This window comes from Homo sapiens, chromosome 1, assembly GCF_000001405.40.
Source record: "Homo sapiens chromosome 1, GRCh38.p14 Primary Assembly".
Classification (NCBI taxonomy): Eukaryota; Metazoa; Chordata; class Mammalia; order Primates; family Hominidae; genus Homo; species Homo sapiens.
This window is the reverse complement of record NC_000001.11, coordinates 244671859-244688282: the sequence shown is the minus strand read 5'-3', so window position 1 is coordinate 244688282 and position 16424 is coordinate 244671859. Positions and strand designations below refer to the sequence as shown.

The following is a 16424-nucleotide window of genomic DNA, read 5'->3' as shown; positions in this document are numbered from 1 at the left end:
GGAAGGGATAAGATTATATTTGGATTCTTAACTTTCTCAATTATAGTACGGAAAGTCACAGACCCATTCTTTTATTTAAAAAGCAATCACTAATTTTCAGGAATATATTAATATTTGATTCTAGCTTTACTAAATTTACATGAACATGTTTTGAAACATGTTTCTAATTATTACTAAATAATTTTATGAAGGGGAGCAATGATTAGGGAGATAATAGAGCCACGGACTAGCATACAAGAACATTTGGGTTCAAGTTTGAGTTAATTATTAGCATGATGACTTCCAGCAGGTTTGGGCCTCAGTTTCTTCAGCTGAAAAATGGAGAAGATGGCACCTGCCCTTACCTAACCCACCATGATCATGTGGTTCAAAACTTGATGGCATTTTAAGAACAGTAACACATCACACAAATTCAAGAAATACACATGCAAATTTGGCAAAAGCCAAATCAGCCAAAAGAGTAACCCCACAGACTATGATCCCACCCACAGCAATACTCCCAAGCATGAAACTTCCAGCAAGAGCCCCTCAGTATTTCCTGGGATTATTTGGTAGATGCAGACTTTCAAGTAAAATAGAGCTTAAATGGCAGATTTTTATAGCCAACATTTAATATGCTAAACTTCACCTGGAAGCAGGTAAAATGGAATATAAAAAAGAGTATAACCACCATACTGACACATTTAAGTAAATGAGTCTTTTCTTTGTATTGGTTAAAACTGGTGTATAGTGTTCAGGGGTAACCCTCAGTAAACTGCAATAATATATTCTTAAGAGGTCACAAAGACTGCCTAGCTGAAGCGAACAAAGGCATTTCTGCTATAGGGTTAGTTTATAATTCAAAATGATACATTGAATGAAATCAGCAATGTGATCTGTCTTACGCAGACCATTACTATTAGTTACAACTTGATCAGGGGTAGATTATCTTGCATCAAGAGTAGGAATTAGCACAGTGGAAAAAAACTGTTGAAAACACAGCTGCTTGGTTTGAGTGACTCCTGACATGTTTATCCTAATAAAGGGTTTTAATAAGGAGAATGAAAAGGGCTGAGTTAATGACAAAGGGCATGATTAGATGTAATCATGGCAGGATTTGCTCAGCAATGTTTTTAGACTTCAAAAACTTATAGATTTTATAAGACGTATAGGTCTACAAACCAAATTTATTACTGAAATTCCCTCAGGAAATTGGTATTTCAAGTCTGACACTTTCTAGCACCAACCTTTCCGACCAAAATTATTGTTTTTATCATGCTATTTTCGAAATGCAAGGTTTCTTAGGAGCTCCAATATATATGAGAACAAAACAAACTGTCATTTTATGACAATCACAAAAGGAAAATATTTTTTAAAACATAGTATTTAGAATAAAAGATAAAGTGAATGAAGCAAATGTATATTCTTGTATTTTGAGTACTTTCTCCCCAAATACATTCTACTTTGGGCATTTTTCCAAAACGCAGTATAAATGAATATGGGGAGATTTTCTTCTACTTTCTGTAATAACATATGCAAGTGGTTAAAAAAAGAGAGACCTATAGTTATGATTTTGCAACTCTTTTAAAGTACAAAATCTTCAGAGAGTATATTTAGACTGTGTGTACACGTACCTCTGCCATAGACTTCAATTCCTGAATGAAAAACTCCAATTCCAATGGATGAGGTATATTCGTTCATCCAATACTGAGAAAAAAAGAAAGAAAAGATTCAGAATACCTGTTCATTTACAACCCAACTCCGCGCTACAGAAGTGACTGCTCCCCAGTCTTTCACTCTGAAACTCCCATGATAACGATCCAGTGGTCCTGTCTCTGTGGCTCTGTGCCTTTGCCTGTACCACATCTGGAATGCCTTCCTGGGTCAAAATAATTGTCGCGATTTGAGTATAAGCACATTATCTAAGGCTTCTAGGGGAAGCAATACAATTAAAAGCTTGATCAGTTTGTGGGGCGGTGGGGGGAGAGATTATATAAGAGCTCTGCTGTTAGTGACTTACACACACACACACACACATACACACACACACACAGAGTGTGCTTTCATATCTATTTTTCTCCTATCCTAAGCTTTTCTTCTTATTCTTTGGTGAGCTCCCTGAAAGCAGAAATATTTTATTCTTTTTCAACAAACATTTACGGCATGTATCATGTGTCCTGATTCAGCTCAAAGTTTGATAATGGTAATAATATAAGAATAAACAATGCACAAAGGTTAGAACAACATTCTTACTTCTTACCATTAGCATGAATAAAAACCTCCCAGAAAAGTAATATCTGAACTGAGTCTTTAGGAACAAATCAGATTTCCCAGTAAGAAAACTGGGCCATGGGGCCCATGGGGATGGACAGAAATGCCAGGAAGAGGGAAGAGGATGTACATAGGTTATATGATAAGAAATTACAGGAAATGACTGTGAAAGGGGTTAAAAAGGTGAAGTGGAGGGGGTTAAACTGAGAAAAAGGTAAATGAGTTAAGAGCTCACTAAACAAAACACTTAGGTAACACTCAAAAGTGTTACAAACCTATTGGATGTCTCCCAGGTTAGGGGACAGATAATTTATCTTTAATTGTTCTAGGTTTATTCAAGTCTTAACCTTGGCTCCAGACCCCTAGCCAGTCTTTCTCAGACCTACACACATTCTCACGCATTGCTGGAAGAAGCATAAATGAACAAGTCAGTTGTGTTTTTTTCTAAAATGTACCTGGGGCCGAGCGTGGATAAAAATAAAATAAAACGTACCTGGAAGAAGAATTAAGCAATCATAAATAAATATATGAAAACAAGGAATTTTCCCATCTAGAAATTGAAATATTCATTAAAACAATATGGCATTGTTGCAGGAACAGATCCTGGTACAGACCCTTGTATATATAAGAATTTGATATATGATAAAGGAGATATTTAAAATTAATGACAAAGTATGACTTACTAAAAGCATGTTGACAAAATTGATTATGCATAAATTTCATGTATAAAAATTCTAGTGTGTCTAAAAATAACTATATATGGATAGAAGGGAATAGAGTTTTAAAAATTTTAGGTGGGAAAAGACAACCTAAGTAAAGTAAAATCCTAGAATTTACAGAGGAAAATATCAACAGATATTCTACATAAAAATGTACAACTTTTTATTTTATAAAACTACATAAAAACAAGATAAAAAGATAAATAATATGCAAAAAGAGAGAATCTGTGTGGATATAACAAAGATTCATATGAGAATATAAGTATCCCTCTTGATCGGAATTTTTTGAGTTCCTGATTTTGGAGAGCCAGAATTTGGATGGCAAGTTAGGAAACGAAGGCTACATTTTTTTATGTGAATCAATTTGATTTTGGAAGGAGAGTAGTAAGATTACATACAGTAAGGATTCTTCAAAACATTTACCCAAATCTATTTAATCCCAGAGTTTGGGCAGCAAAAGTTCAGATATGAGTATACTTGTGAAAATCAATGAAAGTGACTTAACCATTTCACCTTCTGGAATCTATTCTATAGAAATACTAGTACATATGCAAAGCCATGTCCCAGGATATTAACTGTAGTTGTCTACAAGTACTGAAAAACTGAAGTCTAAATATCAATAGAGAAATGGCTAATTATGGTACATTCATATTATAAACTATCAATCAAAAAAAGAATAAGGTTGACTTGGGAAAATTAGCTGAGATTTTTTTTTTAAAAAAGAAAAAAGAATGAGGTAACTCGATAGATATTTAAAAACCACATAAAATAAAAAGATCAAGTCATAATATGTGTAGCATGATCACATTTTTGAAAAATAAGTTAGCCTGAGGATATACTTACATGTTAAGTATGGGATGACAAAATCAAACTACCACCAATTGCAACAAAAGAAAGGTCTGAAGCACCTGTGTTCAACTGTTAACAATTTGGCCGAGAGGAGTACACGTGGCTAGGGTGGGAGTGGAGGACTAAAATGCAATACTTTCAGTTTTAGCTCCATACATTCAGGATTGTTTGTTCTTCTAAATTTGATAAAGAGTATTACTTTTATAGTTAAAAATGTTATTTTAAAGTAAAATGCTATTATCTTAGTTTAACAGGTTTTTATTTATTTGAATCTTTATACTATAGTAAAAGAATAGGTTGCACATATAAAAAACCATAAGCATAAGACTATTAACTGCAGTATTATTTATGTTAGTAAAATGTTGACAACAGCCTAAATGTTCATTTATAGGGTCCTAGTTACATAAACTATGATATATCTATATAATGGAATACTCTTTAGCCATAAAAAGAGGGGAAGGGCTCAGTGTGGTGGCTCACACCTGTAATTCCAGTACTTTGGGAGGTTGAGGCGGGAGGACAGCTTGAGGCCAGGAGTTCAAGACCCCCCTAGGCAACACAGGGAGACCCAATCTCTTAAAAAAAAAAAAAAATTAGCCAGGTACCCGTGGTCCTAGCTACTTGGGAGGCTGAGGTGGGAGAACTGAGCCCGGGAGTTTGAGGTTGCAGTGAGCTATGATCACACCACTGCACTCCAGCCAGGGCAACAAAGTGAGACCCTGTCTCTAAAAAAAAATTCAAAAAGTGTTGGGGCAGGTGTGATGCTCTTAAGGAACTAAGAGGAAGAGGAAGTAATTTCCAGGATATATTTGTTAGGGAAACAAAAGCAAGTTGCAAAGTAATATATGGCAAAAGGCTGGGCGCGGTGGCTCACGCCTGTAATCCCAGCACTTTGGGAGGCTGAGGTGGGCGGATCACAAGGTCAGGAGATCAAGACCACCCTGGCTAACATGGTGAAACCCTGTCTCTACTGAAAATACAAAAAATTAGCCGGGTGTGATGGCGGGCACTTGTAGTCCCAGCTACTCAGGAGGCTGAGGCAGGAGAATGGCATGAACCTGGGAGGCGGAGCTTGCAGTGAGCCGAGATCACGCCACTGCACTCCAGCCTGGGCGACAGAGCGAGACTCTGTCTCAAAAAAAGAAAAAAGTAATAATATATGGCAAAGACTTAGACTCCTGAACCTTCTCCTAGGCCCATGTGTACACGTACTTGTAAAATCAGGTTTTAGCAAAGAATCTTGCTAATTCAGTTCAGCAAGAACCCCCAACCCTTGCTATCTGATCACCTCCATATCTGGTCAGGTTCCTCATCCTCCACCATCCCCCTGGTGATGCCAGATCTTCACTAGGAAATGTGTTAGGTTGGTTTAGCCAGAACCCCCCTGGATCCCTAATGTTTCCTCTTAGAAATTTTCCATCCACTGACCCTCCACCCTGCTCCCTGGCTGCAAATTCCCATTTGCCCATGCTGTGTTTGGAGTTGAACACAGTTTCTCTACTCCACTGCAAAATCCCATTGCCATGGCCCCTCTACCTATCACAATGGTCTTGAAAAGAGTTTGCCTTACTGTGCTTTAACAAATATCACTGAGTTTTTTTTTTTTTTTTGACAACACACTATATACATGCTTTTGTATGAGAATGTCTGTATCTACATCTTACAGCCAGCAAACAACTCCTGCAGACCAATCTGGCCCCCCGCCTGTCTTTGCAAATAACGTTTTATTGGAACACAGCCACGCTCATTTGTTTGCAAATTGTCTGCGTGGCTTTTATGCCACAATGGCAGAGTTGAGTGTGATAGATAACCAAAATATTTACTATCTGGTTATTTACAGAAAAAGTTTGTGTAAGATCCCTGTCATATGCAAATATCTATTTTTTTACAAAAAAGAAAAAGAAGAAAAAACCAGAAAATTATGAAAATAGTTACCTACCAGAGGTGGATGAAAGGGAAAGAGATAGGAGACTTCCTGGGATATCTTTTCATATATAGTTTTGACATTTGAACGATGTAAATGTTTTTCACAAAGTTAAACTTTGAAATAGAAAAAGAAGTGAGAAGTGAAGCCAGCTGGACTTCCTGGGTCAGGTGGGGACTTGGAGAACTTTTCTGTCTAGCTAGAGGATTGTAAATGCACCAATCAGCACTCTGTAAAAATGCACCCATCAGCGCTCTGTAAAAAACAGACCAATCAGCACTCTGTAAAATGGACCAATCAGTGGGATGCGGGTGTGGCCAAATAAGGGACTAAAAGCTGGCCACCCAAGCCAGCAGCCACAACCTGCTCAGGTCCCCTTCCACGCTGTGGAAGCTTTGTTCTTTTGCTCTTCACAGTAAATCTTGCTGCTGCTCACTCTTTGGGTCTGCACTACCTTTATGAGCTGTAACACTGACCACAAGGGTCTGCAGCTTCATTCCTGAAGTCAGCGAGACCACGAACCCACTGGAAGGAAGAAACTCTGGACACATCTGAACATCTGAAGGAACAAACTCCAGACACACCATCTTTAAGAACTTAACACTCACCACGAGGGTCTGCGGCTTCATTCTTGAAGTCAGTGAGACCAAGAACCCACCGGAAGGAACCAATTCTGGAAACAGAAGTACACCTCAAAACCGAAGTCAAACAAAAACAAATGAACCTAGTTGTGTATCAAATTGATAATCACACAGATAATAAAAAAGAAATTAACTTCTGAATACAGTATTCTGTCTATATACCCTTACTGAGATATATACTAAGGACAAAATGAAGTGCAAAGAAATCTCAAACTGAGACGTGTTGTTCATAGTGGTACTGGTGTAATTCCAAAACTATTTGTATGTACTACAGGACGTGTATGTACCAAGAGGTGGGCAGCTGTGGATGCAAGAGATCTAGGTTGTGCGTTCCTTATGAGAATCTAACAAATGCCTGATGATCTGAGGTGGAACAGTTTCATCTTGAAACCATCCTCCCTCCCCCGCCCCAGGTCCATGGCAAAATCATCTTCCACGAAACTAGTCCCTGATGCCAAAAAGGTTGGGGACTGCTATGCTCTAGTAGAGAGCAAGTGAGTACATATACTGATGGTGGGAACCAGAGTTGTCAGGGTAGTAGAGGGAGATAAAAAACACAGAAGAGGAAATGGAATGGAAGAAGCCCGTGGTACTGGATCGTAACGGGAAGCATCTGTATAAACTCATAAAGAATATATATTATTACCTAGCTTGCCCACTGAAGTAGAAGCAATGAACATACTGTCCAGATCTTGGTTTCTCTTCCTAAAAGGAATCAGGACTCTGGAGAAATGGTTGATTCAAAGTTAGGGCAAAAATGTGTAAGGTGAGACTTGCTCAAAGAATGATGGCCACATGTCAAGATTATAGAGAAGCTGGCCTAAAGCAGTTTTCATTAGTCAACCATGGGAAAAGGTGAACATCAAAAAGAATAATGATAATGGACTATAGCATATTGAATAAAAAGACTATCTCAGAGTCCATGGTAATACTTAAAAAAAAAAAAAAAAAGTAAAAGGAGGAAAGCTCTTTTTTTAATAGAAGCCAGCCAGCTAGTACAAGTAGACGAAAGGGCAAAATTAGGCAATCACCATTTTGTTGCCACCAGTTGAGTCAGGCAAAGATCATGGATGATAAAACCATTAGAAGAAAGGCTGTTTAAGAATGATATACACAATGTCTCAAAGTATCACCTCCTTCTCCCCTGCCATTTCTCCCCATTTGTTGCACCAATGTCACTTGCCAACCCCCACTATTTTTCCTAAATAACAAAGAAAAAAGATATCTTTGCAATGGAAAAATATGGTGTATATCACCTTATCAATACTAAGTGATTGAACTGAGCATCATTAATAGTTGGACCAATTGATATTATGTGCCTTTGGATGTGACGAAATACAAAAGCTACATTTGCTTTGTTAGTTTTCCTGTCAAATGTGTTAAACCAGAAGACAACCATAAGGAAAAATCAGGTAAGTCTGGACTATGAGACATTCTACAAGAAAACTGGCCTGGTCTTTTTTTTTTTTTGAGACAGGGTTTGGCTCTGTTGCCCAGGCTGGAGTGCAGTGGCCTGATCTCGGTTCACTGCAGGCAGGGCTCAAGCCATTCTCCCACCTCAGTTTCCTGAGTAGCTGGGACTCCAGGCACATGCCACCATGCCCAGCTATTTTTTATACAGACAGGGTTTCATCATGTTGTCCAGGCTGGTCTCGAACTCCTAGGCTCAAGCAATCCACTTGCCTTGGCCTCCCAAAGTGCTGGGGTTACAGACATGAGCCACTGTGCCTGGCCATGGATGGCTTGGTTTTTAAAAAAATATCAGTGTTAGCAAAGTCAAAAGAAGGCAGAGGAAGGGTGGGCTACTCTTACGGCAATTAAAGGAAGTGAATGAACCTCGACTGGATCCTAGATTTTTTGTTTAAAAAAAAAAAAAAAAGGCTAAAAAGAACCATTATTGGAACAATTGGGGAAAACATGAATATAGACTATATATTCAATAATACTACATCAATTAAAAACTTCTTGGGTGTGATAACAGCACTATGGTTAGGTAGAAAATGTCTTTTTTTTTTTTTTTTTTTTTTTTTTGAGATAGAGTCTCTCACTCTGTCACCCAGGATGGAGTGCAGTGGCGCAATCTGGGCTCACTGCAACCTCCACCTCCCAGGTTCGAGCGATTCTTGTGCCTCAGCCATGCAAGGGGGATTACAGGCTTGTGCTGAAATACCTGGATAATTTTTGTATTTTTAGTAGAGATGGGGTTTTGGCATGTTGGCCAGATTGGTCTCAAACTCCTGGCCTCAAGTGATCCACCCTCCTTGGCCTCCCAAAGTGCTGGGATTACAGGCGTGAGCCAACACGCCAAGCCAGAAAATGTCTTCTTGGGAAATACATACTAAAGTATTTAGGGATGAACTGCTATGTTTGTGACTTACTTTCTATGTGATCTGTGTGTGACAGAGTGTAGGACGGGTGTGAGAGAAAGTAAATGTAGCAAAAGGTTAAAAACTGGTACATCTGAATGAAGGGTATATACAGATTGTACTCTTCCTTCAACTTTTTGGGAAGGTTTAAAAAATTTCACAATAAAAAATTTGGGGGAACTAAAGAGAATAATCTAGTCCTCGCCTCCTTACAAGAGATGCATTTCTAAGTTTCTTGCTATCCTCTTACTTTCTCCCCCTTTTCACAGAAAAAGACCAGCCTGGGCAACATGGTGAAACCCCATTTCTACAAAATACAAAAAGTTAGCTGGAAGTGGTGGTGCGTGCCTGTAGTCCCAGCTACCCAGGAGGCTGACATGGGAGGATTGATTACCTGAGCCCAGGAGGTCGAGGCTTCAGTGAGCTGTGATTGTGACACTGCACTCCAGCCTGAGCGACTGAGTGAGACCCTGTCTCAAAAAAAAAGAAAAAAAGAGAAAAAGAGTGGAAAATACTGCAAGGTATCACGCCAGTTCACATAAAAATTTTGTTAGGCTTTCTCCACGTAGTGGTTTCCTTGGCAGCCAACTTCTAGGACTTAAATTGCCTTTTCCAATTGAGAAATCCCATTGTTTATACAGTTTGCAACCAATAATTTGGTCTGTATACTGTTGATTTCCTTAACGACAGCACCAAAAGGTTTCTGTTCCGGATGCAGGCGGCTCTATTTTAAAGTGGGCTATTCTCTTCTTGCAGCACAGCTTCTTTTTCAAAATATAGAATATTATCCAAAAAGAGATGTATACATAATGGTTTGGCTACAATAATCAAAAGGTTTTAAATGCTTAGTAAATGGAACATTTCCATTTTATGTTCAATATCACTTAATTTTAACAATCTCTTCAGTTGAGCAGTAAATAGCCTTCTGAAAGTGATTTATTGTAAATTTCCATAACAGGAACCCAAAGGTTTTATTAAAAAATGGGAAAGATATTCATGAAAAAGAGTTATGCCCGAATGTTGACTTTTGGTAAAGAATTAGGATGAGAATGAACTTATCAGAGTGGGCATCCTAAACTCAGAAATCTTTTATTCTCTGCCTTTTCACAAATGAAAATAATTTCTTCTATGCTTGGGGATTCCATGCTTAGAACTCCTATATGTTGCCTGAGTACTATACTTCTTCAGTCTGAAAATTCCTTGTATTCAAGATTTTACATTCTAAAAAATAAAGGTATATTTTGACACATTTTATAAAGGGGAAAACTGTAAAAAGAAACTTAAAAGCAAGAGAAATATTCCATCCACAAATGTGGTCAGTAGTTTGGAATTCACTATAATGAGATGTGGCCTAAATAAAGTTTCTAAAGAAATGCTGAGACAGTACAATGAAAATGAGTATCTGCTTGCTTTGCAAGTGGTACTGTTACCTCCACTCTCAGATAGAAAGTTGAACTATCAGGTCAACTGTTCCTGCTCAAGATTATACAAAGCCCACAAGTTGCTAGGAAAATGATTTCTAAACCTAGAGATATATTCCTTTGGACAGTATTAAACAGTGTAAGTCCACCCCTCACTCCTAACATCATCATCATTATTACTGTTATTTTTTTAGAGACAGGGTCTCACTCTGTCGCCTAGGCTGGAGTGCAGTGGTACGATCATAGCTCACTGCCTCCTCAAACCCCTGGGCTGAAGCAATCCTCCTAACTCAGCCGCCTGAGAAACTGGGACTAGAGGCATGCACCACCATGCCAGGCTAATTTTTTAACTTTTATTTTTGTGGATGCAGGGTCTCGCTATGTTGCCCAAGCTTGTCTTGAACTCCTGGCCTCAAGCAATCCTCCCACCTTGGCCTCCACAAGTGCTGGGATTACAGGTGTGAGCCATGCCCAGTACTGTGCCCAGACTCATTACTGTTATTTTTTTGAAGGCTCTGTTTCAATATTCTGTGCAAGGCAAAAATTAATGTTGACGTTGCTTATTCATTGTTAGCAATAATAATGATGAACTCAGTAGTTCTTTGTTTTTCACATTTCCTTATATTTTCTATCCTCAGAAAGGACCCCCAGAAGTTGAAGAGTTAATTTCTTTGTAAAGTTAAAGTAGCGATCTATTTACTGGTTAAAAATCTATGAAGAGACATCTCTACCAACCTAATGGAAATGAAAAGGATTCCAAGGAAGACTAAGAACAACTGTATGCCAACAAATTATATAACTGAGATGAAATGGACAAATTCACAAGCTACCAAAACTGACTCAAGAAGATACAGAAAATCTAAATAACCTCTAATGAGAAAAGAATGAACTAGTAATTTAAACACTACCCACAAAGAAAAGCCCAGGACCAGGGGACTTCACTGGCAAATTCTACTAAATTAAACAAGAATCAATACCAATTCTTCAGAAGCTCTTCCAAAATACAGAAGAAAGGGGAACACTTCCCAACTCATTCTATGAGGCCAGATAAACCTGATACCAAAACAAAGACATCACAAGAAACAGAGACTAATATCTATTATGAAAACAGACTCAAGGATTATATAACATGACCCAGTGGGATTTATCCCTGGAATGGAAGGTGGGCTTAATCTTAAAAAAAAAAAAAAAAAATTAATGTAATATACCATATAAAGGACAAAATCCCCATGATCATCCCAATAGACAAAGAAAAGCACTGGACAAAATCCAATACCCTTTCATGATATATATATATAAAATATATATAATATATATTTTATACAATATATAAAATATACATTGTATATATTTTTAAAATCTATTCAATAAACTAGGAATAGATGGAAATTTCCCTAAGCTGATAAAGAACATCTATGAAAAACCTCACAGCTAATATCATACTTAACGGTGAAAGACTGAATGCTTTCCCTTTAAAATAAAAAATAAGATAAGAGTGTCTGCTCTTGCCACTTCTGTTAAACACTGTGCTGGAGATTCCAGCCAGGGCAATTACTGAAGAAGGAAAAATTAAAGGCATTCAAACTGGAAAAAAAGAAGTAAAATTATCTCATTTTGCAGATGATATGATATTATATACAGGAAAATCATAAGGAATCCACTAAAAAATTACTAAAACTAATAGATAAGTTAAAAACATTGCAGGGTACAAGATCAATATATAAAAATCGATTGTAGGCCAGGCGCGGTGGCTCACACCTGTAATCCCAGCACTTTGGGAGGCTGAGGCGGGCGGATCACGGAGGTCAGGAGATTGAGACCACCCTGGCTAGCACGGTGAAACCCTGTCTCTACTGAAAATACAAAAAATGAGCCGGGTGTGGTGGCAGGCACCTGTAGTTTCAGCTGCTCGGGAGGCTGAGGCAGGAGAATGGCCTGAACCAGGGAGGTGGAGCTTGCAGTGAGCTGAGATCGCGCCACTGCACTCCAGCCTGGGAGACAGAGCAAGACTCTGTCTCAAAAAAAAAATTGATTGTATTTCTATACACTAGCAATAAGCACTCAAAAAATGAAATTAAGAAAATTCCATTTACAGTTACATAAAAAATAAACTTATGGATACATTTAAGAAGTTCATAAACTGTATCTGAAAACTACAAAACATTGTTGAAAAAAATTAAAGAAGACCTAAATAAATGGAAAGACATTCCACGCTTGTGAACTGGAAGATTTAATACTGTTAGGATGGTAATACTCTCCCAAGTTGACCTGAAGATTCACTGCCATTCTTGTCAAAATCTCAGCTGCCATTTTTTGCAGAAATTGACAAATTTAAAAATTCATATGGAAATTCAAGAGACCTAGAATAGCTAAAACAATCTTGAAAAAGTTATAGGACTCAGACTTCCTGATTTCAACATTTAGCACAGAGCTACAGTAATCAAGACAGTGTATTACTGGCATAAAGATAGACATACAGATCAATGAAACAGAATTCAGAGTTCAGAAATAAGCCCCTATAATGATGGCCAACTGATCTTTAACAAAGGTGCCAAGACAATTCAGTGGGAAAAGAAGAGTCTTTTCAACAAATAGAACTGAGACAACTGGAAATCCACATGCAAATGAATGAAGCTGGTCTTCTACCTCATGCCATATATAAAAATTAATTTAATGGATCAAAGACCTAAATGCAAGAGCTTAAATTATAAACTCTTGGAAGAGAAGCATATCTTCATGATCTTGGATTACGCAATGGCTTCATAGATATGACACCAAAAGCAAAAGCAACAAAAGAAAAAAATTGATGAAAGCAGAATTTAAAACTTTAGTGCTTTGAAGAACACTATCAAGAAAGTGAAAAGGGAAACCACAGCCTGGGAGAAAATTTTGGCAAGTCATATACCGACAAGGGACTTATATGTAGAATACATATAAGAACTCTTAGAACTCAACGAGACACATAACCCTACTAAAAAATGGGCAAAGGATCTAAAAAAAAGTATTTCTTCTAAGAAGATACGCAAATTAAAACCACCATTATCTATCATGTCACACCTACTCAGATGACTATAATCAAAAAGACAGATAATAACAAGTGTTAGGATGTGGAGAAATTAGAACTCGAATACATTACTGGTGGGAATGTATCATGTTACAGCTGCCTTGGAAAACAGTTTGGCAGTTCCTCCAAAAGTTAAACCTAAAGTTACCATATGACCTAGCAATTTTATTTCTAGGCATATGCCCAAGAGAAATGAAAATATATAGCCACATAAAAACTTGTAATTAATGTTCACGGCAGCATTACTTGTAATAGCCAAAAAGTAGAAACAACTACATGTTTATCAACTGATTACTGGATAAATAAAATGTGGTATTATCCATGAAACGCAATATGATTTCTCAGTAAAAAGGAATGAGGTATTTGATGCATGCTACCACAGGAATGAACCTTGAAAACATTATGCCAGGTGAAAGAAGCCAATCACAAAAGACCACATATTACATGATTCCATTTATATGAAATGCCCAGAATAGGCTACACAGACGGAAAGTAGATTCGTGGTTCTATGACTGGAAGTTTGGGAAGATATGGGAAGTGATTGCTAATGGGTATGGGCTTCTCTCTAGGGTGATGAAAATATCCTAAAATTGACTGTGGTAATGATGGCTTCACAACTGTGAATATACTAAAATTCACTGAATTGTACATTTTAAATGGGTGTACATTTTATATAGTTCATCTAGTATATGAACAGTATCTCAAAAAGGCTGTTAAAAAAAAAAAAGACCGTTATGAATAGAAGTAAAGTAAATCGGCCGGGTGCAGTAGCTCACGCCTGTAGCCACTTTGGGAGCAGAGGCGGGTGGATCACCTGAGGTGAGGAGTTCGAGACCAGCCTGACCAATATGGTGAAACCCCGTTTCTACAAAAATTACAAAACAAAATTAGCTGGGCGTGGTGGCGGACGCCTGTAGTTCCAGCTACTTGGGAGGCTGAGGCAGGAGAATTACTTGAACCTGGGAGGCGGAGGTTGTAATGAGCCGAGATCGCACCACTGTACTCCAGCCTGGGCAACAGAGCAAGACTCCGTCTCAAAAAAAAAAAAAAAAAAAAAAAGAGACAGAAGTAAAGTAAATCTATTAACTTGTCCCAAATGACAGAAGAGTATACCATGTTTTAGTTGGCAAACCTAAACAAAAACTCTTCTGTACATGCCTTGAGCCCCCGAGGATAAACATTCCTTTAGATACAGAACATACTTTGCTCCTTAAAGAATAATTCGGCATTATAACAAAGTTTTTCCTCTGTTAGCAAAATGTGAACCAAGAAATTCACAAAAAGTTTCCATTTCCCTGTTTTTATTATTAGACATGGTCCAATAAAGTTTACTATCAGTGAAATATATAAGTTATGGGAATGGAACTCTCAATGGAAAAAAAGTGAAAAAAAATACTAGCTACCATAAAACATTTTCTAGTAACACAAGACAGTCCAATTAGTTTCTTGAACTCTCTATACCCAATCAAAAACCTTTAAATAGGTTACTTCTTAAATTACAGGCTGCATTCCTAATTCTAGCCAGCTGCCTTCTAAAAACATCTGCTTTTAGTCACAAGGAAAACAGGATATAAAAAAGGAATATATCAAGAGCAGAAGAAAACAATTCTAAATATGTATTTTGGTCAGCCACTTCACATATGAACAGTAGCACATTTCTGAATAAATGTTTAGAATATACATTATGAAGCGAATAAATTAGATGTTTTTCTTTGGTGTGACGTTTTTTCTTAATAGATTCAGAGGAAAAGAGGGTAAGCCCTTCCAGGGAGAGTTGGTTAGAGAAAGAGATGCCCTCCAAATGCTTCTGCTCCTGTTAGGGCTTCCTAGATCTATTATTAGAGAACACGCCTGGAAGGCTCAATCTTTACAACTGGGCAGGCTGCCTGTGGAAGATGCAAATTTAATTCAAGGTCAGTATGCCTTATCAAGTCCTTCTGCCTCAAAGTCCTGCCAAAGCTATGCAGACAATATGGATGATGTCTATTTTAAGTGAATATTTAGTGAGATAACTGTAAAAAAAACCAAACCAAAACAAAAAAGCATATGAGAACTGAGCCTTTTACGGAATGATTTCAGTTGTGAAACTATCCTACTCCCCTACAATAATGATTTACTGCTGGCAGTTATTCATGCTGAAATAACTGCTATTATTATTATTATTATTATTATTACAGACAGAGTCTCGCTGTCACCCAGGCTGGAGTGCAATGGGGCGATCTTGGCTCACTGCAACCTCTACTTCCCGAGTTCAAGCGATTCTCCTGTCTCAGCCTCCAGAGTAGCTGGGATTACAGGCATATGCCACCATGCCTGGCTAATTTTTGTATTTTCAGTAGAGATGGGGTTTCACCATGTTGTCCAGGCTGGTCTCGGACTCCTGACCTCGTGATCCGCCCGCCTTGGCCTCCCAAAGTGCTAGGGTTACAGGCATGAGCCACCACGCGTGGCCAACTGCTATTAATTTTTGAAATCAATAGTAGTGTTTCTCAACGCTTCTCTAACCTGGTGTGTTAGTCCGTTTTTGTGTTGCTATAAAGTAATACCTGAGACTGGGTAATTTATAAAGGAGGTTTAATTTGCTCACAGTTCTGCAGGCTGTACAAGCATGGCTCCAGCATCTGTTTTTGGCGAGGGTCTCAGGAAGCTTCCAATCATGGTGGAAAACAAAAGGAGAGCAGGCACGTCACATGGCGAGAGCAGCAGCAAGAGAGATGGAGAAATGGGGAGGTCCCGGCTCTTTTAAACAACCAGATCTCCCATGAACTGAGTGAGAACTCACTCATCAGCAAAGGGATGGCCCTAAGTCATTCATGAGCGATCTGCCCCCATGATTCCAAGACCTCCCACTAGGATCCACCTCCAACATTTCTTTTTTTAAGAGATGGAGTCTTGCTATGTTGCCCAGGCTGATCTCAAACTCCTGGCCTCAAGAGATCCTCCTACCTCAGACTCCCAAAGTGTTGGGTATTACAGGCATGAGCCACTGCACCTGGCCTGGAGGTCACATTTCAATATGAGATTTGGAGGGGACAAACATCCAAATCATGTAACTTGGTTTTATCTTTTGTCATTACATTTAAAAATTATTTTACTACTGTCAAAACTTATGTCACATAGCATCTCTTCAGTAAAAATCTCCCTACACAGGTCAAGAGAATTTCTCAAAATTGCTATGAGGAAATTCATG

General features: G+C 38.1%; 1 protein-coding gene across 10 annotated transcripts in view; it reads right to left on the bottom strand.

Annotated features, from left to right (window-relative positions):
• DESI2 (desumoylating isopeptidase 2) overlaps nucleotides 1-16424 on the bottom strand; it is a 55908-nt gene that overhangs the window by 20751 nt on the left and 18733 nt on the right. For 8 of the 10 annotated variants that reach the window (NR_123735.2, NR_123736.2, XR_001737208.3 and 5 more), the window contains exon 2: nucleotides 1614-1686. Coding sequence is in view for 7 of the 10 variants with exons in the window: in NM_016076.5 (NP_057160.2) it covers nucleotides 1614-1686 (73 nt within the window). In the remaining 3 variants the exon portion in view is untranslated. Of the gene's footprint in view, nucleotides 1-1613; nucleotides 1687-6350; nucleotides 8364-16424 lie in introns of those variants that run through there. The other 2 variants (XM_011544207.3, XM_011544205.4) reach the window with 2 other exon arrangements.